General features: G+C 41.0%; 1 protein-coding gene and 1 long non-coding RNA gene across 14 annotated transcripts in view; one reads left to right on the plus strand and one right to left on the minus strand.

Annotated features, from left to right (window-relative positions):
• Nucleotides 1–20,214, plus strand: part of LIMS1 (LIM zinc finger domain containing 1) — a 153,576-nt gene that overhangs the window by 129,236 nt on the left and 4,126 nt on the right. For 9 of the 13 annotated variants that reach the window (NM_001371496.1, NM_001193483.3, NM_001371498.1 and 6 more), the window contains exons 3-9: nucleotides 7,875–7,941; nucleotides 9,419–9,539; nucleotides 9,974–10,123; nucleotides 12,972–13,122; nucleotides 13,700–13,792; nucleotides 15,073–15,121; nucleotides 17,789–17,864. In NM_001371496.1, the coding sequence (NP_001358425.1) occupies nucleotides 7,875–7,941; nucleotides 9,419–9,539; nucleotides 9,974–10,123; nucleotides 12,972–13,122; nucleotides 13,700–13,792; nucleotides 15,073–15,121; nucleotides 17,789–17,864 (707 nt within the window). Of the gene's footprint in view, nucleotides 1–7,874; nucleotides 7,942–9,418; nucleotides 9,540–9,973; nucleotides 10,124–12,971; nucleotides 13,123–13,699; nucleotides 13,793–15,072; nucleotides 15,122–17,788; nucleotides 17,865–18,062; nucleotides 18,255–20,214 lie in introns of all 13 variants that reach the window. The other 4 variants (NM_001371495.1, NM_001394897.1, NM_001371494.1 and 1 more) reach the window with 2 other exon arrangements.
• LIMS1-AS1 (LIMS1 antisense RNA 1) lies at nucleotides 13,889–15,695 on the minus strand. Its single transcript, NR_149074.1, has 3 exons — nucleotides 15,533–15,695; nucleotides 14,408–14,585; nucleotides 13,889–14,024 (listed from the first exon to the last, which is right to left on the minus strand). It is a non-coding gene; the product is annotated as an LIMS1 antisense RNA 1 (long non-coding RNA).

The raw sequence follows: 20,214 nt of genomic DNA on the forward strand, positions 1-20,214 counted from the left end.
AAATGGGGTCTGTGCACTCACTTCCCCTTGAAAATGTGATTTACTTTTATGGTAGAACTTTCTGGTACTTTGAATTAAATAGGACATTCTTCCCTTTGGCCACAGAGGCAAGTATAGAATGAGATCCTTGTTTCCTAACCACTTACCAGAACATATATCTGAAGAAATGAGCACCAGTATTTCTGTCTCAACTACAGTTTCTCTTTTTTTTTCTTTCTTTTCTTTTTCTTAAGACAGGGTCTTACCGTGTTACCCAGGCTGGAGTGCAGTGGCACAATCATGGCTCACTGCAGCCTTGACTTCCTGGGCTCAAGCAATCCTCCCACCTCAGCCTCCCTAGTAGCTAGGACTACAGGCACACACTACCACAGCCAGATAATTAAAAAAATTTTTTTTGCAGAAACAGGGTCTTGCCCTGTTGCCCAGGCTGGTCTCGAACTCCTGAGCTCAAGTGATTAGATGCCATTTACCCAGGGAAATACCCTTTCAACCCAGAGGCCCTAACGCTAACTATAGTGGTTCCTAAATCTTTGTGACATCCAGCATTATCTCCAGTAAAAGAAGTATTTTAATTTTTCCCATAAGAAAATACTTTTGGGAGTGAAGCGGAGCCAACAGTTACAAGAGTGATTTAAGTCCAGGAAGTATTGCAGAGTGGGATGGACTGAACCAAGGACTAGGGACCTGGTGTGCAGCTGATTAACCCTGACTTAGTACATGCTCAGGGCTGGGTTCTTTGTTGGTGCTTCACATTTCTCTCTCCTTAGTTTGGATTTCACAAATGTGTCCCTTTTTTCCCATCACAAAATGCATTAACAGTAAAGACCCATTTTTTTAATTTTTTATTTTTATTTTTATTTTTTTTGAGACAGAGTTTCACTCTTGTTGCCCAGGATGGAGTGCAAATGTGCGATCTTGGCTCACCGCAACCTCCACCTTGCGGCCTCGAGTGCTTCTCCTGCCTGAGGCTCCCAAGTAGCTGGGATTACAGGCAGGCGCCACCATGCCCAGCTAATTTTGCATTTTTATTAGAGACGGGGTTTCTCCATGTTGGTCAGGCTGGTCTCAAACTCCCGACCTCAGGTGATCCGCTCGCCTCGTTCTCCCAAAGTGCTGGGATTACAGGAGTGAGCCACTATGCCTGGCCAGGAAAGACCCGTTTATGATGAGTAGTCTTGTAGCAAGATGTTTTACAAAGAGGTTTCTTCACTCATTTACTCTGATTATTCAGGAAGGCAGAAACTGAAATGGAAGACCCTTCCAACCAGCACATCTGTTTATCTGTGGATCCACTCACTTCAAGGCAGTTTATGACAAACCAGTATAAAGTACCAAAGGAAGATTTGCAACTTTGCACTTGACTGGAAATGAGACTTTCAGCTGGTTTCCGGTTCTGAGCTTACTTGAAAGCAGCTCAGAATAATTGTTTCTTCCCCTAAAGGGAATATTTACAGAACTCCAAAACTTAAAACAGTTAGAGCCATTCTTGGAGCTCATCTTCCCCCACACAGAGCGACCCATTTCCACAAGCGGTGGGACCCCAGGGTTCTTAAGGCATTTTGTTTATAAACAATTTGGACCATACTAATTTGGACCATTAATATTTCTAACAGGCTTATTGTATTCGTTGTTTAAATCAGTTTGGGGATGTAATGTGTAGTTACCTAGAAAGGCTATATTTATAGAAATTTAAATCTTCCCAATTTATGATTCTTGATTTTTAAAAAATTTTATATCATAGAGTTTTACTTTGGATCAACTTCTGGCCTTTCTCTCAGGCTCAAAAGTTGAGCTATACTATGTTTGATCATTTCTACACACTGTAGAAAAGAGGCAGCTCATTATAGCAGAAGTTCTCCACCTGGAATTAACAATAGTTGTGACACTGGAGAAGCATAGCCCAGAGTGCAAGAGATTTGCAGGATGAATGGTGGCAAGGAAATCTATTTCTAAGTCCTCCTATTCTGGTTTTGAAGGACTCAATTTCTGGATCCTTTTCTCTTTGCCTGAAAACATATTTATATTCACAATAGTACTTCTCTCACATTGCAAAAGAAAGAGATCCCAAATCTTACTATCATTAATTGCTCCAGGATACCCATCAAAAAGGATTAGTTAGGGAGTGCTGAAACCCATAAGGCTCAGTCTTTCCCTGCCTTATGTATTTTCTCATTAAGTAGAAGCTTGGCTTTAGGAACTGTGTTGGATATTCTGTATTCAGGTACAGATATGCACGCCCCTTAACCACAGGGAAATGTCTGAGAAAGGTGTCATTAGGCAAGTTCATTGTTGTGCAAACATCAGAGAATGTATTTAACAAACCTAAATGTCATAGCCTACAACACATCTAGTCTATATGGTATGGCCTATCCCTCCTAGGCTACAAACCTGTACAGCATGTTACTATACAGAATACTGCAGGCAGTTGTAACACAATGGTGAGTATTGTGTATCTAAAAGTATCCAAGCAGAAAAAGTACAGTAAATATACCATATACCATGGTAGTATATATGGTCCATTGTTGACAGAAATGTTATCTGGCGGATGACTGCATATGCTGAATTTAGAGACGTAGGCAGTAGTTACAACAGCTTTCCTTTTTAATTTATTTTTATTTTTTATTTATTTATTTTTTTTGAGACAGAGTTTCGCTCTGTCGCCCAGGCTGGAGTGCAGTGGTGTGATCTTGGCTCACTGCAACCTCCACCTCCTGGATTCAAGCGATTCTCCTGCCTCAGCCTCCTCAGTAGCTAGGAATCCAGGCGCATGCCACCACGTCTGGCTAATTTTTGTATTTTTAGTAGAGACAGGTTTCACCATGTTGGTCAGGCTGGTATCGAACTCCTGATCTCATTATCTGCCCACCTCGGCCTTCCAAAGTGCTGAGATTACAGGCATGAGCCACTGCGCCCAGCCAACAGCTTTCCTTTTAGGACTTAGCCTTTTTCATCCCCTGACTAATTTCAGAAGAATTTATCCATTTTAAGGGAAAGCTCTGGGAGAGCAAAGCAAAGAACATTGGTAAGAAATTGTGAATGAGGTGGATAGAAAACACAAACCATTTTCCCTCTGCTTGCACACCACAACAATCAACACAAGTTCTTCTGTGACCAAACGTGTGGGAACTTCACCACACGCCAAGCAAGCAATCGGTTCTGCAGTGGACACCAGCTGGGCGTTCTCCAATTCAATTCCCACACTATCTACCTGGAGACCACAGACTGAGGGGCAGCCCCAGGACTGTCCTCCTTCTGATGCCAACTGAAAGCCCCAGATTGCTTCACCTGTCCTTCTGGCTGACATGCTCTGTAAATTGGGAATCCCACAGCTTCCTCTTCTGGTTCTATTAATTTGCTAGAGCAACTCACAGAGCTCAGGGAAACACTTTTACTGGTTTATTATTAGTATTATGTTTATTTGTTTGTTTTGAGACAAAGTCAAGCTCTGTCACCTAAACTGGAGTGCAGTGGAACAATCACAGTTCACTGCAGTCTCCATCTCGTGGACTCAGGCAGTCTTCCTGCCTCAGCCTCCCCAGTAGCTGGGACTATAGGCACATGCTACCATGCCTGGCTCTACCAGTTTATTCTAAACAATATTACCAGCCAGGCACGGTAGAGCACACCTGTAATCCTAGCACTTTGAGAGACTCAGGTGGGAGGATTGCTTGAAGCCAGGAGTTCAAGAGCAGCCTGGACAACATAGTGAGATCCTGTCTCTACAAAAAATAACAAAATTAGCCAGGCATGATGGCACACACAGTCCCAGCTACTTGGGAGGCTGAGGTGGGAAGATCATTTGAGCCTAGGAGTTGGAGGCTACAGTGAGCTATAATCATGCCACTGCACTCCAGCCTGAAAAAACAGGGCAAGACCGTTTCTGAAAAAAAAAATAATAATAATAAAATAAATTTTTAAAAAGGATATTACAAAGGATACAGCTGAAGAGATACGTAGGGTGAGGTATATAGGGGAAGGTGGTCAGAGCTTCCACACCTTCTCTGGCTGCACCACCCTCTGGGAAACTACACTGTGTTCAGCTATCCAGAAGCTGTCTGCACCCTGTCCTTTTAAATTTTTACGGAGGCTTCATTATGTAGGCATGATGAATTAAACACTTGGCCACTGGTGATCAACTTAACCTTCAGCTCCTCTCTGCCTTTCCTGAAGGCTGGAGGGTGGGGCTGAAAACCCCAACCATCCGATTCTGCCTTGGTCTTTCTGGTAACCAGTCCCATCCTAAATCTACCTAGGGGCTGCCAGTCAGGAGGCACCTCATTAACATATACAAAGACATCACTTTTAAGATTCCAAGGATTTTAGGAGCTGTATGCCAAGAAACTGGGAGGAAGACCAAATATGTATTTCACAATGTCACAGTGAGGGTATGCCATGAGCTAGAACAAACAGACCAAAGCAGTATCGCTTTTTGACTCTTGGGAGGCCCTAAGAGGTTAAGCAACTTGCCCAAGGCCACACAATGAGTCTTTCAGCCAGATTTTGAACGCAGGCAGTCTGGATCCATGGTCAGTGTTCTTGACTCCTACCTGTCTTGTTAAAAGATGTTTCCAAATTATAGTTAATCCTAATTTTATTTTATCATATACAGTGATTATATTTTCAACCTTTTTTAAAAAAAAAAAAAATATATATATATATATATACTGCTGGGCTACTTTTTAGTGTTTTTATGCAATATACATCTTTCTCTTTCATTTAATACAGAATAAAAGTTGATCATTTCTAACTAATGGAGTTATTTATGAGTTTTTACACAGTCGTCTTATGGTATCCACAGAGGATTGGTTCCAGGACACCCCCTCCACCCCACTCCCACCTCACCCTCAGAGCTTACCAAAATCTTTGAATGCTCAAGTCCCTGATATAAAATGGTATACTTACTTGCATATAACCTATGCACATCCTCCTGTATACTTTTCATTATCTCTAGATTACTTAAACAATAGCTAATAAAATGTAAATGCTATGTACATAGTTGTTACACTGTGTTTTTAAATTTGTATTATTTTTATTTTTCTATTGGTATTTTTTATTGTTTGGGGTTTTTTCTTCCACATATTTTTTTATCCTTGGTTGATCGAATCCAAGGATGCAGACCCAGCAGATACAGAAGGCTGTTTTGTGGTCATTTTGTTTTTTTGTTTCTAATTGACATAATAATTACACACATGGGGCACAGTGTGATGTTTCAATACATGTATACATTGTGTAAAAATCAAATCAGGGTATTTAACGTATCCATCACCTTGTACATTTATAATTTCTTTGTCGTAAGAACATTCAAAATATCCCTTTTCTAGCTATTTTGAAATAGCTATTTTGAAATATTTTGAAATGCAATATATTATTAACCAAAGTCACTCTACTGTGCAATAGAACACTAGAACTTATTCGTCCTAACTGTAACTTTGTACCCATTGACCATCTTCTCCCCATCCCCTCCACTCCATTCTCCCCAGCCTCCAGCAACCTCTATTTTACTCTCTATTTCTATGAAATCAACCTCTTTAGATTCCACATATGAGTGAGATCATGTAGTATTTGTCCTTCTGTGCTTATTTCACTTAATGTAATGTCCTACAGGTTCATCCATGTCGCCACAGATGACAGGATCTCATTCTTTTTTATGGCCAAAGAGTACTCCGCTGGGTATATGTACCATATTTTTTTAATCCATTCATCCGCTGATGGAAAGTTAGGTTGCTTCCAAATCTTGGCTGTTGTGAATAGTGCTGCAGTAAACATGAGAGTGCAGATATCTCTTCCACATACTGATTCCATTTCCTTTGGATATATTCCCAGTAGTGAGATTGCTGGATCATATGGTAGTTCCATTAATTACTGCTAAAAGCTAAACATCAGATTTTTATACATATAGATGGCATACATTCATCAGAAATATATCGTGCTTCATAAATACTTGTACTTTTGGCTGCACATTATAATGTAGTATGGCATAGTATCGAGTAATAGCATATCAATTTATTCTCTTCTGTTAATAAACTTTAAAAACCAAATACATTAATCTGGGCAAGGTAGTGTGTGCCTGTAATCCCAGCTACTCAAGAGGCTGATGTAGAAGGATCACTTGAGCCCAAGCGTTCAAGACAAGCCTGAACAACATAGCAAGAACTAGTCTAAAAACAAAAAGATACATTAAATATATTACAGCTTATTCATTTGAATTAAAAAGTGAAAGCTGGACATAGTAGCTCACACCTGTAATCCCAGCACTTTGGGAGGCCAAAGGCGGGAGGATCACTTGAGGTCAGGAGTTCGAGACCAGCCTGGCCAACATGGTGAAACCCCATCTCTACTAAGAATACAAAAATTAGCTGGACATGGTGGTGGGCGCCTGTAATCCCAGCTACTCAGGAGGCTGAGGCAGGAGAATCGCCTGAACCCAAGAGGCAGAGGTTACAGTGAGCCAAGATTGTACCACTGCACTCCAGACTGGGCAACAGAGCGAGACTCTGGGAAAAAAAAAAAAGTTATTTTTTCTAGGAGAAAATCTGCTTTGGTTGGTTCAACAGTAGGAACTGACTTTGCCAGTTAAGCTGTGGTAGATATGTTCACTAAATTGGATGCACTAAATCTATAGCCATAATTTGAGGAAATTGAGTTGCCAACTGATACATTAAAAATGGATATCATTAAAAATGGATTTTAATAATCAAACAGTGTATGACTTTTGGCATATAACTTGTAAGGAGCTCGAAGACTCAAGGGGAGACATTACTATAACATTTCTCACAAGTTAGTAATGTGAAAAAGGCTTCTTAGCATTTCTCTATTAAAAAAAAAAAAGGAACACCCAAAATAGAAAATAGACCTAGAATTAATATTGAACCTGAGTCTTCTAGTGGAAAGCCATATTGATGCATGAGATACATGAAATAATTGTGGGAGGAAAGGGCAGCCCTACTCATTTCACTATCACTAAGATATGCTTTTCAAGTAAACATAGTATAAAAAAATTAATATTTGTGTCTTGCTTGTCCTATACTAATCATTCTAATGATAATACAGAAGAAAATAAATGTTAACCTTTACAGCCTTATGGATTCAGAAAGCACATTTTAAAATTTCATGTTATATATATTTTTTAATTGCAGAAAAGTATGATAGGGTGATCAGTTAAAGACAAGTACAAAAATATACTAGGATAAAATTGGAGCACATAAAATGAAAACAGTTCAAGAAATGAAAGATGTAAAAATCTTGGCTGTTAAGAGAATGTTTTTTAATGGATTTTGGTCATTTTAAAATGTGCTAGGGCTGAGCTACTGGCTAACGCCTGTGGTCCCAGTGCTTTGAGAGACTGAGGTAGGAGGATTGCTTTGGGCCAGGAGTCCAAGAACTAGCCTAGGCAACATAGCAAGACTCCCATTTAAAAAAATAATAAAATACAATGTGCTAAAATATTTGCCCTTTGTAAATATTTGAGGTTACAGTGAGAATTACAGATATCGACCTGAAAAATGTGGGAGGAGAGTTGTATGTATGTGCATATTTTCTGGAGGGAGAGGTGATCCATAGCTTTCATCAGATTCATTAAAGGCAGGGTATTTGAGCCAGAAAACAATTCAGCACAGTCAGAGGCCAGGTCACCAGTCCCTGTAGGTGTACTGTTCACTCTAGCCTCTACTTATTCCATATGTCTTTCCTGTACCAACATGTAGATGTATGGATGGTGCAAAAGAGTATCTGCTTTTTAAAATCCCAGTAGAGTTATAAATTCTTAGAGTAGAACTCTTAGTTTAGAAACATCTTTCCTGTATATCTTCATCAAATAATTATATTTCTCCTGTGATTGTTTCGTGTTTGTAAGTTGGTGGTACCCTCTCTTTCAGTTTGAAGGAAGAAAGTACTGTGAACATGACTTTCAGATGCTCTTTGCCCCTTGCTGTCATCAGTGTGGTAAGTTTTACTGCTAAATGTCAAGTAAAAAGTAAGTTTCCGGCCAGGCGCGGTGGCTCACACCTGTAATCCTAGCACTTTGGGAGGCGGAGGGAGGAGGATCACCTGAGGTCAGGAATTCGAGACCAGCCTGGCCAACGTAGGGAAACCCCGTCTCTACTAAAAATACAAAAATTAACTGGGCATGGTGGCAGGTGCCAGTAATCCCAGTTATTCAAGAGGCTGAGGCAGGAGAATCGCTCGAACCCAGGGGGCAGAGGTTGCAGTGAGCTGAGATTGCACCACTTCACTCCAGCCTGGGCAACAGCAAAACTCCATCTTGCGGGGAAAAAAAGTAAGTTTCCACATTACTTCAGTCATTTCACACTGGTGAAGTATCGATGGTAAAAATGGTTTTTAGTGCTCATTATGAATAACTGTTGGATACTTCATCACTCCTCTTCCCTATTGTTAACATAGAACAAGCTGGAGGAGTATCAAAACCTAGAGATCATTGATTTTTAAGGACATTTAAGGTAGAGGTATTTTGGGATGAACTAGGACTCCTATCGGGTGGCGTTTGGGAGTGTTCTTTTCCTGTGTTAACACAACCTTTACCAACTTGCTTTTGGTTTTGCCCAGAAAGAGGCAGGGAAGAAATCAGTGAGGTGCTTCAGAAGCTTAGGGATGCTTAAACATTGCTTGCACGGCGCATAAGTGATGGACTTGCTTGCACGTTGGCCACTTCACTGGTTGCTAATACCTCTGCCGGGTTTCCAGAGATTGAAGAAACTGGGTAGAATGTTCTAAAGGTTTAATGAAAGAATAAATTAAGTATGGGTTATAAGAAACTGTGCTGTAGATTTCAGTTGTCTATGTTGACAATGACCAGAAATAACCAAAAGGCATTCAAGAGAGCCTAGTAGCTCGTTTGGACAGGAAAGCTAGATTCAGAGATGACACAAAACAGCCCAAAAATGTGGCTGTTGAATCAAAAACAAAAATTCAGATGAAATAAAACTTTTTTGCTAATGTGCTTACTCTGGTAGACACATAAAAAGTTCTTCTACTGGCCACGTGTGGTGGCTCACGCCTATAATCCTAGCACTTTGGGAGGCCAAGACGGGCGGATCACCTGAGGTCGGGAATTCGACCAACATGGAGAAACCCCGTCTCTACTGAAAATACAAAATAGCCGGGCGTGGTGGCAGGAGCCTGTAATCCCAGCTACTTGGGAGGCTGAGGCAGGAGAATCGCTTGAACCCGGGAGGCAGAGGTTGCAGTGAGTCGAGATGGTGCCATTGCACTCCAGCCTGGACAACAAGAGCGAAACTGTCTCAAAAAAAAAAAAAAAAAAAAAAAGTTCCTCTATTGAGAAAGGCTTCAACGGTTTTTTTCCTCATTGTTTTTCCTTAATTACTCTCTCAGTAAATAAAGTGCCATGCCTGTTACTTAGGATGTTACTTAGTAACATCCTTTGTGTGTTGCTTTCCCACAGGTGAATTCATCATTGGCCGAGTTATCAAAGCCATGAATAACAGCTGGCATCCGGAGTGCTTCCGCTGTGACCTCTGCCAGGAAGTTCTGGCAGATATCGGGTTTGTCAAGAATGCTGGGAGGTAGGTGGATTTTCATCCTTGTCAGATGTGGGTGGACAATGTGACTGTGACAAGATCATGTGTATTCTCCATGTGGGATGTAAGGCAGTTCTGTAGGACACTGAATTGAGGGCATGGGAACTCAGACACTGCAGTGTGTTGACTGAGTGCTGCTGCTGGGAGTGGACCCTTGTGTTGCTGTTCACAGGGCATAACTGCTCCATGCATGGCTGAACTACCAATGGGGGATGTACCTAGATGGAGTTTCTTAAAAATCAGTCATATTAGGGTTGGAACACATTTTTCATGTGGCTTGATTCTGCCCCGTGAAGCACAGGAGTGATTTTTTTAAGAAATGGTTTGTTTAATTTCTTTTCAGAGATAAGGGAAGCATATTTCTTTTTAACCATTAGAAAGAACCTAAAATTTTAAATTTAAGTTTTGACTCTGTTTAGACACCTGTGTCGCCCCTGTCATAATCGTGAGAAAGCCAGAGGCCTTGGGAAATACATCTGCCAGAAATGCCATGCTATCATCGATGAGCAGCCTCTGATATTCAAGAACGACCCCTACCATCCAGACCATTTCAACTGCGCCAACTGCGGGTACTGGAATTGTTTCTTTTTTATTACACAAGCAGTGGGAATGAAAGATTACATTTATCTATATTTCTGTTACTCTAGCAAACCAAATTGTTTTTCTCCAATTTTTAGTCTAGAAAATTTTAAACCTATAGACGAGTCAAGAGAATGATATAATGAAACCTGTATACACTTAATTTCGTTTCACCAGTTGACATTTTGCCATGCTTGTGTGTATACAGTCCACATTCTCGTTTCACCCTCCTATGTATGTGTGCACGTGTGCCTGTATACGCATACCTCTAAAATTTCTCATGAGTCCCAGTATGCGTCTCCTGAGAATAAGAGCATTTTCCTATGGAACCACGATACTTTTTGTAAATTTTTTTTTGCCTTGAGACAGGGTCTCTCTCGCTCTATTGCCCAGGCTGAAGTGCAGTGGGCAATCAGAGCTCACTGCAGCCTCACCCTCCTGGGCTCAAGCAGTCCTCCCACTTCAGCCTCCAGAGTAGCTGAGACCACAGGCACACACCACCCTTCCTGACTAATTTTTTTAAATTTTTTGTAGAGATGGAGCCTTGCTGCGTTGCCCAGGCTGGTCTCAAACTCCTGGGCTCAAGCAATCTACTCATCTCAGCCTTCCAAAGTGCTGGGACTATAGGCATGAGCCACTGCACCTGGCCAGAACCACAATACTCTTATTATGCCTAAGAAAATTAGCAATAATCTTATAATATCAACTATCAGTCCATATTAAAAATATTCCCAGTAGCCCCAGAAATATTTGTCATCACTATGTTTTTCCAATCGAAGATCTAAAAACAAAAAAAGGTCTTATCTCTGTACATGCATAACTTTTACAGTTGTAATAATTAGGTATTATCTTAAAAGATGTTGTTACATTTATTTAATTTGGCTTGGTTTATATCTAAAAGAAATATATTTAATTTTTTGTCTTCAATAAGTTATGATAAATTGTTGGGCTATGAATTTTTCTCAGTTTGCTGCCTAGTATAAAAATTTAGTGGATAAAGATTCTTGGCCGGGCGTGGTGGCTCACACCTGTAATCCCAGCACTTTGGGAGGCCGAGGCGGGCAGATCACGAGGTCAGGAGATCAAGACCATCCTGGCTAACACGGTGAAACCCCGTCTCTACTAAAAAATACAAAAAAAATTAGCCGGGCACGGTGGCGGGTGCCTATAGTCCCAGCTACTTGGAAGGCTGAGGCAGGAGAATGGCAGGAACCCGGAAGGCGGAGGTTGCAGTGAGCTGAGATCGCACCACTGCACTCGAACCTGGGAGACAGAGCGTGACTCCATCTCAAAAAATAAAAATAAAAAAATATTCTTTACTGTAGTTAATGTGAACTTACTTGCTAAATTATAGTAGGGATGGAGAAGAAACAGTAAGCCAAATACTAAGAAAACAGTTTGGGCCAGGTGCAGTGGCACACGCCTGTAATCCCAGCACTTTGGGAGGCCGAGGCGGGTGGATCACGAGGTCAGGAGATCGAGACCATCCTGGCTAACATGGTGAAACCCCATCTCTACTAAGAATAAAAAAATTAGCCAGGCGTGGTGGTGGGTGCCTGTAGTCCCAGCTACTCGGGAGGCTGAGGCAGGAGAATGGCATGAACCTGGGAGGTGGAGCTTGCAGTGAGTGTGGATCGCGCCACTGCACTCCAGCCTGGGCAGCAAAGCAAGACTCGTCTCAAAAAAAAAAAAAAAAAAAGAGAAAGAAAGAAAACAGTTTGGTTGTATAAGTTCAGCCATCTCATCTTTTGTGATTGAATTATCAGTTTGTGCCTTATCTCGTTTTCTTGCCTGTCCTTCCTCTTGGGGATTCACCTCTGTCCACTTTTCATTAGCATCTCTCCTAGAGAATTACATAAAAGGGATGAAATTCAAACAAGTCCGTTTGACTAATTGGGACCATCTCTGACCAAATGTTTATTGATGCAGGAGACTGAAAATAATATTTAATTTGAGTATTTGGAGAAGGAAAATTCTGGGCATTTTGTTGTTTATGAAAATAAACCTATTAACCTATAACTATTTTCAACAGCTTGTGACAATTTAAATAATTGTTAGTAAATGGAACTAGTCTCCCAACTTCTCAGTTTGCTTGGAAAGGTCGTGTGTTAGTCTATTTTATGCGCCTGTAACAGAATACCACAAACTGGGTAATTTGTAACCAACAGAAGTTTATTTGGCTCATGGTTCTGGAGGCTGGGAAGTCCAAGATCAAGGGGCTGGCATCTGGTGAGGACCTTCTTCTGCATCATTACATAGCAGAGGGCATCACATGGTGGGGGAAGAGGAGGGGGGAAGGAAGAGAAGGAAGGAGGCTGAACTCGTCCTTTTATAAGGAACCCACCCCCTCAGTAACAGCGTTAATCCATCTGTGAGGGCAGAGCCTTCATGATGTAATCACCCCTTAGAGGTCCTACCTCTCAACACCTCAGAATTGGGGATCATGAACTTTGGGGACACAGTCACACCATAGCAGATAGTATTACTGAGTCTACCCTCAGCACTGTGATTATTCCCTGTAGCTTTTAGAGGAAGACAAATGGACTAAAATGTAATGTGATAATATAAGAAGGAAATTATGAATATGACTGGTGTGGTGGTATGTATCTGACCTAGTCTTGCATCTTATCCTTTTAAGATACAGATGTTTTGGTAGGAGTCTGAAACCTGTTCAGGCCTATTAATTCAGGTTATTCTGATCACCTCTAAAGGGGAAAAAAGAAATTTGCAGGGATTGTCATAGTAATGTCTTTAAAAACCTTCTAAAAAGTGTGCTAGCCCCATTGGTTGGCCACTTTTCTCTCTTAGTATTAAGCTGTGTGTCTTTCTCACGGACAGGAAGGAGCTGACTGCCGATGCACGGGAGCTGAAAGGGGAGCTATACTGCCTCCCATGCCATGATAAAATGGGGGTCCCCATCTGTGGTGCTTGCCGACGGCCCATCGAAGGGCGCGTGGTGAACGCTATGGGCAAGCAGTGGCATGTGGAGGTGAGTTCTAAATGGCAAAGGGTAACCAATCCTTTCAAATCTCCATGATTAAGGGGTAACCAATACTTTCAGATCTCCCATGATTCAGGGGTAACCAGTACTTTCAAATCTTCATGATTCAGGTGTCCTGGCAAGATTAGGAGACTCTAAAGATTAAACGTGGACATTTTAAAGACAATTGACTTTGCTGACAGCTAAGAATATATAATGTACACTGCTTTTGTGAATGTCTCAGTAATGATACAGGATGTGTACTTTTGCTCCTAAAGCCTTCTTGAAGCAGGAAGTGCCATGGTCTGTATCCAGCAGCAGCTCCTCCTTTATAGGTGCTACTGAGATGCTCACCTCTATTCTCTTTTTGGGCTATTATAATAGGCTATGTCTTAAAGTAACCTTCAAAGACAGACACCTGAATTACAACTGCAGAAGTATTATATTATGGGGCCACCTATGGCCAAATGAAATGACTGTCTCAAACTTTCCTTCATCTTCTCTGAAAATAGGTTAACTCTGGTATTTACTTTATTAGATATAAAATATGGCAATTCAAAAATGACCTATAGCAATTTTTTTTCAGCATTTTGTTTGTGCCAAGTGTGAGAAACCCTTTCTTGGACATCGCCATTATGAGAGGAAAGGCCTGGCATATTGTGAAACTCACTATAACCAGGTATTGACCTTAGTCACTGGATGCTAGATAGACTTTTATGAACCTAAGCTTATCAGTAGTTTAGCTACAAGGAAATCTCTTGGAAGATGTACATTGTTCAGTAGAGATTTGTTTTTAACTTTTTATTTGGGAAATAATTTCAGACTCAGAAGCTAACTATAAAATATACAAAGAATACCTGTATGTCTTTCATTCAAGTCCACAGTTTGCTTTATCATTTCCCAAGCTCAGTCTTCCTGTGTAAAACACATAGTTACGTAAATATTATATACAAGTACGATGGCTGTTTTGCCAATAAGTTCATCATACTCCTTTATCCCTAAATACTTCAGTGTATATTTCCCAAGAATATGGGACTCTCTAACATAATTGTAGTTATCAATATTGATACCGTACTCTAACCATTTATTCCAGTTTTGTCACTTGAGTCAATATCCTCACAGCATTTTTTCCACTCCCAGACTGGACCCAGCCTCTGGCTGTGATGTTTCTTTAGCCTTCTTAAATCTGGAACGTTTCCAGAGTCTTTTAAAATTTTTGATGACATTGACATTTTGGAGGGATGCAGAGGGCCCCTAACCCCTTTTTAATAGACTACTTTCCACTTGGGTTCACCTGGTGCTTCTCTGTGCTTAGATGAGGTTATACACAGCAGGTTGTGGCCTCATACAGTGGCAGGGCATCTTCTCAGAACCTTGCCCCTGGAGCATTTTATACCTCTCCTGCCCTGGTGATCTCCCAGGCATGGTGCTGGCTGATAACATCACTGTGAATTACAATTTCCTTCCCTCCTCTGTAAGAAAGAAGCAATCTGTGGGCAATCATTTTATGACCATGGAAATGTCCTGTTCCTCATCAACCTGCCCTAGATTCAGCACCCCTTGATGATTCTTGTCTCTGCGCCAGCTGCAAACGACACTTCTCCAGCCCCATGCCCTCCACCCATAGTCTGGTCCTCAGCGCTCTGCCTGAGCAAGAACCCACCTCCTCTCCCGTCTATAGGTTTATTCATTTATCTATTTCTTATCCATATGGACTCACAGATTTCTATATTTTGCATCACTTATTTGGGTGTTCAAACTGTCATCTGGAAAGTTTTTCTTTTAATTGATGAGAGTGAATTACTTTCATTGTAAGAAGTAAAAACTTGTCAAAGAACTTTTACTAAATTTCTCTAGTAGTGATAAATCCTCAATTTAGATAGCCAGCTATTTTTAAATGTTCAGTGTTCTAAAAATTCTAACACATCTTGAACTTTGACCACCTTTTTTTATTTTCAGCTATTTGGTGATGTTTGCTTCCACTGCAATCGTGTTATAGAAGGTGATGGTAAGTATCTGTGTGAGTTTTAGATTGGTGCCACTTTGACACAAAAACACTTGGGTAATGTGGAAATTCAGGTTGGTGATTGTATGGTTTGAAATGTGATCGTTATCAGTTACTTTTTCTCTATCTTTGGCGTATTTTCCAAGTAATCTGTAGCAGTAAGATGATAATATCAAAGAGTTGGATTTGTTACTGATTTATGACACTACTTTCGGCCACTGCTGCAGTGTTGTATGCCAGCAATCATGGGAACTGTCCCTGGTGGACCCTAAGACCTGTTTGTGTCCAGTTTCAGGAAGCTCTAGAACAACGTTTATTAGGAACAGTTTAATCTGCTATCGTAGTTAGGAAGAGGCACTTTAACCTGCACATGCTAAAAGCTGGCAGTTATCAGCAAGCATATCTAGGACTTACCACCCTTGTACTGTGGTAATTAGGCTGGGCTGATTGATTGGAACAGAAAGGAAGCAGCTGTGTTTGCTAAGACTCGCTAACACACTTCTGCCAGAGACTTCCTGGCAAAGTTTTGAACAATCCTGTTTTCAGCATGATTCATGGCTCCCTGCAGACATCACCTAATTCAGGAAATACTTTTGAAACACTGTTCATGTGCAGTTTGTGAAAACAATCCAGGAAAACAATCTTTAGTGCCATTGAAAATAAAACTTACCTCCCTCCTCTGTGAAATAGATGCCAGGTGAAAGAAGCTGCAAAGGAAACTGTCTTCTTATCATCAGCTCTGGAAAAAAGACTCCTACAGGGGCAAATAAGTTAATGTCTGGATTTTTGAAAATTATTTACCTAGTTCATATTTCCATGTTGGGCCAACAGCAGTAGGGACAGAAACAGCAAGCTCACCTAAACAACATGGTGCATGGACAGTTGCCACATGTGCCCAGGCCAAGGGGGCACAGTTGCTGGTGTAAGACATGGCACACATCATTTATAACTTCACAGGATACTTAAGGATGGGGGAAGATTAAAGTCAGCCCTCCGTATCCAGGGGCTGGATCCAAACATCCGTGGATTCAACCAACTATGGATCAAAAATATTTAGAGAAAAATAACAATATAACAGTACAAATAGTACAGTATAATGACTATTTACATATCATTTACATTGTACTAGGCATTATAATTAACCTAGAGATGATCTAAAGTATACGAGATAGGACCAGGCTCAGTGGCTCACGCCTGTGATCCCAACACTTTGGGAGGCCAAGGCGGGCAGATCAACTGAGGTCAAGAGTTCAAGAGCAGTCTGGCCAACATGGTGAAACCCCATCTCTACTAAAAATACAAAAACTTAGCTGGGTGTGGTGGTGCATGCCTATGATCCCAGCTACTCGGGAGGCTGAGACAGGAGAATCACCTGAACCCGGGAGGCAGAGGTTGCTGTGAGCCAAGATCACACCATTGCACTCCAGCCTGGGCAACAAGAGCAAAAACTTCGTCTCAAAAAAAATAAATAAATGTATACAAGACAATGTACATAGGTTATATGCATTTTATATCAGGGACTTGAGCGTCTGAGATTTTGGTATCCTCACAGCATCCTAGAAACAGTATCCTGCACATACTGAGCAACAACTGTATACATAAAGGTTGAGGGCCGGGTGTGGTGGCTTATACCTGTAATCCCAGCACTTAAGGAGGCCGAGACAGGAGAATTTCTTGAGGCCAGGAGTTCGATACCAGCCTGGGCAACAGAGCAAGACCTCCATCTCTACAAAATAAAAAATTAGCCAGGTGTGGTAGCACACACCTATGGTCCCAGCTACACAGGAGAACGAGAGGAGAAGATTGCTTGAGCCCAGGAGTTCGAGCTGTGATCGCACCACTGCAATACAGCCTGGACAACAGAGCGAGACCCTGTCTGAAAAACAAAAGAAAAGAAGCTCTCAGGAAAGAGGTTCTTGGCTGGGCATGGTGGCTCATGCCTATAATCTCAGCATTTTGGGAGACCGAGGCAGGTAGATTGCTTGAGCCCAGGAGTTCAAGACCGTCCTGGGAAACATGGCAAGACCGTGTCTCTATAAAAAATACAAAAATTAGACAGGTATAGGCCGGGCGCAGTGGCTCACGCTTGTAATCCCAGCACTCTGGGAGGCCAAGACGGGCGGATCACAAGGTCAAGAGATTGAGACCATCTTGGCCAACATGGTGAAATCCCGTCTCTATTAAATACAAAAATTAGCTGGGCATGGTGGCACGCACCTGTAGTCCCAGCTACTTGGGAAAATGAGGCAGGAGAATCGCTTGAACCCAGGAGGCGGAGGTTGCAGTGAGCCGTGATTGCGCCACTGCACTCCAGCCTGGCAACAGAGCGAGATTCCGTCTCAAAAAAAAAAAAAAAAAAAAAATTAGCCAGGTGTAGTGGCATGCACCTGTAGTCCCAGCTACTCAGGAGGCTGAGGTGGGAGGATCACTTGAGCCTGGGAGGTTGGGGTTACAGTGAGCCAAGATTGTGCCACTGTACTCCAGCCTGGGCTATAGAGCAAGACCCTGTCTCATTTAAAAAAAAAAAAAAAAAAAAAAAAGGTTCTTGAGAACCTCCACCAAGTGCCACAGACACAGTCGTAGTTCTGTTTTGGAGTTGAAATTCTAAGCTGCCCTGCTCCCCATACTGATGTATTTCCATGTGACCAGATCTCTTTCCTCTTTCTCCAGTGGTCTCTGCTCTTAATAAGGCCTGGTGCGTGAACTGCTTTGCCTGTTCTACCTGCAACACTAAATTAACACTCAAGTAAGTGTACGGTTTTGTCCAGTGTGAATCCTAAGACTGAAAACTTTGGGGAGACACTTAAAAAAAATCCTAGAATTTAGAAAAAGAGAATTATTTGATTTCTTATTTCCTCTTTCTGTTCAGGCCTTCTGAAAGTAAAGGTTCTTCCTTTAACTGTTCCCTGTTCTTTCTTCTATTCCTTCTTTGTCCTACTCAAAGGGATAAGTTTGTTGAAATTGACCTAAAGCCAGTCTGCAAACACTGTTATGAGAAAATGCCAGAAGAATTTAAGAGGCGACTTGCCAAACGGGAGAGAGAAGCAAAGGATAAGGACAAGCAGAAAAAGAAAAAGCCAGTCTGTTTGTAAACTTTTCTATCCCTGTGTCATCATTTTCACTGCTTTCTCCTTTGGTTAGTCCTTTGGAATATGTTTTTGTTCTGTTTCTGTCTTTTGCTTTCTTCCCCCCCTGCAACTTTTGGGCATGTATTTGTAGTCATCAGAGATTGAAATACAAGTATTTGTCCTATGTAGAACTGGTCCTTTTGCATAACTGCTAAAATTACAAAAATTAAATGAATACACTCCATACTTAATACAGTTTTGTGGTCATGTATTTCACTTACTCTGTAGACTCACTCACCTCATTTTTTAAACACCATATAGTATACATTTCTTTCTTTTTTTTTTAATGGATTTAAAGGGAAGAATTCTAATCTCTTAATAGACCCTGGAAAACATTTTAAAGGATTTTTGTCTGATTAACTGTAGCTTTTAAAATCCTGGTTTTTGGTTTCCTTGCCACGATCATTTAATTGATAAATTATAAGTGTTGTTTGATATTTTTAAAAATGCATATATTCTAAGTTATGTATTAAATTATTTCAGCATGGCGAGGCATGGTGGCTCACGCCTGTAATCCCAGCACTTTAGGAAGGCAGAGTGGAAGGATTGCCTGAGCCCAGGATTTTGAGACCAGCCTGGACTACATGCCTAGACCCCATCCGTCAAAAAAAAAAAACAAATTAGCCAGGCGTGGTGGCCCATACCTATAGTCCCAGCTACTCAGGAGGCTGAGGCTGCTGCAGTGAGCCATGACTGCCACTGCACTCCAGCTTGGGCGACAGAGTGAGACTCTGTCTCAAAAAAAAAAAAAAATCTTTCAGCATGTTTCGTATCTAAGCAAAGTCCATCTGATTTACGTAAGACATCTTCTTCTGTGATGTTCGAATGTGCATTCATACAATACCCATATGCTACTGTTTATGAATTCATTTCCTCAATGTCTTCAAACTCTTTTTTTATTCCTGATTTTTATGAGAAGTATTTCAATCTTTGAAATTCTTTTGAATTACCAGCATGATTGTTCCAGTTTTCCCTCATAGTTACCATTGTGTTTGGAGCTCTAAAAATATTTTGTTCCAGTTTACATGTTTCCTTCTATAAAGAGGAATTAAATGTAAATGTAAGATTAAAACAATGAGGCCGGGCATGGTGGCTCACGCCTGTGATCCCAGCACTTTGAGATGCCAAGGCAGCAGATCACTTGAGATCAGCCTGGGCAACATGGTGAAGCCCCGTCTCTACTAAAAATACAAAAAAATTAGCCAGGCATGGTGGCGGGTGCCTGTAATCCCAGATACTCGCGAGGCTGAGACAGGAGAATCGCTTGAACCTGAGAGGCGGAGGTTGCAGTGAGCCGAGATCGTGCCACTGCATTCCACCCTGGGCGACAGAGTGAGACTCTGTCTCAAAAAATAAAAAATAAAAAAGATTAAAACTGGAAAGCTTGCTAAGGTAGTCTGTCTGAAAACAGGAATAATTTTTTTCTTTTATCAAAAAAATGGCAGTTTTAATAGCTTTTGCTCTAAGATGACCTTGGGAGAAAAGCCGTAAAGTAATTCCCAGTGTAGTGTTTTAAAATAGAAGATTTTTCATTTTAGATATGTGTTTAGGAATTTCCTTTGTTACTAACATTGTCCTTTAAAATGATCTTGAAGCAAAGTCTAGTTTAATATAATGTTTAAATGCAGTAAAAATATCAGCAGATTTTATAATTTTTGTCATAGATAGCAATATACCACTAGATTTATTTCACAAATGCTACCTGAATATAATTTCACAGACAGTGAACAAGTTACCAAGTTGTATATTTACTCAATTCAAAATTAAACACTCTGGATTTCAACAGTAATAAGCTCCTGTAATTACCTGTTGGAAATGCATTACAGATGATCAGGAGGCTATCTGAAAAGTTGTCTTCTCCAGGACCATTTTAAAAATAAATTGATAATGTGTGTTGCTCTAGCTTTTCAAAAGAATAGTTGAGTTCTTCAAATAGCTACCGCTTACAATGCAACCACAGGTGATCTG

Source organism: Homo sapiens, chromosome 2 (genome assembly GCF_000001405.40).
Source record: "Homo sapiens chromosome 2, GRCh38.p14 Primary Assembly".
Lineage (NCBI taxonomy): Eukaryota > Metazoa > Chordata > Mammalia > Primates > Hominidae > Homo > Homo sapiens.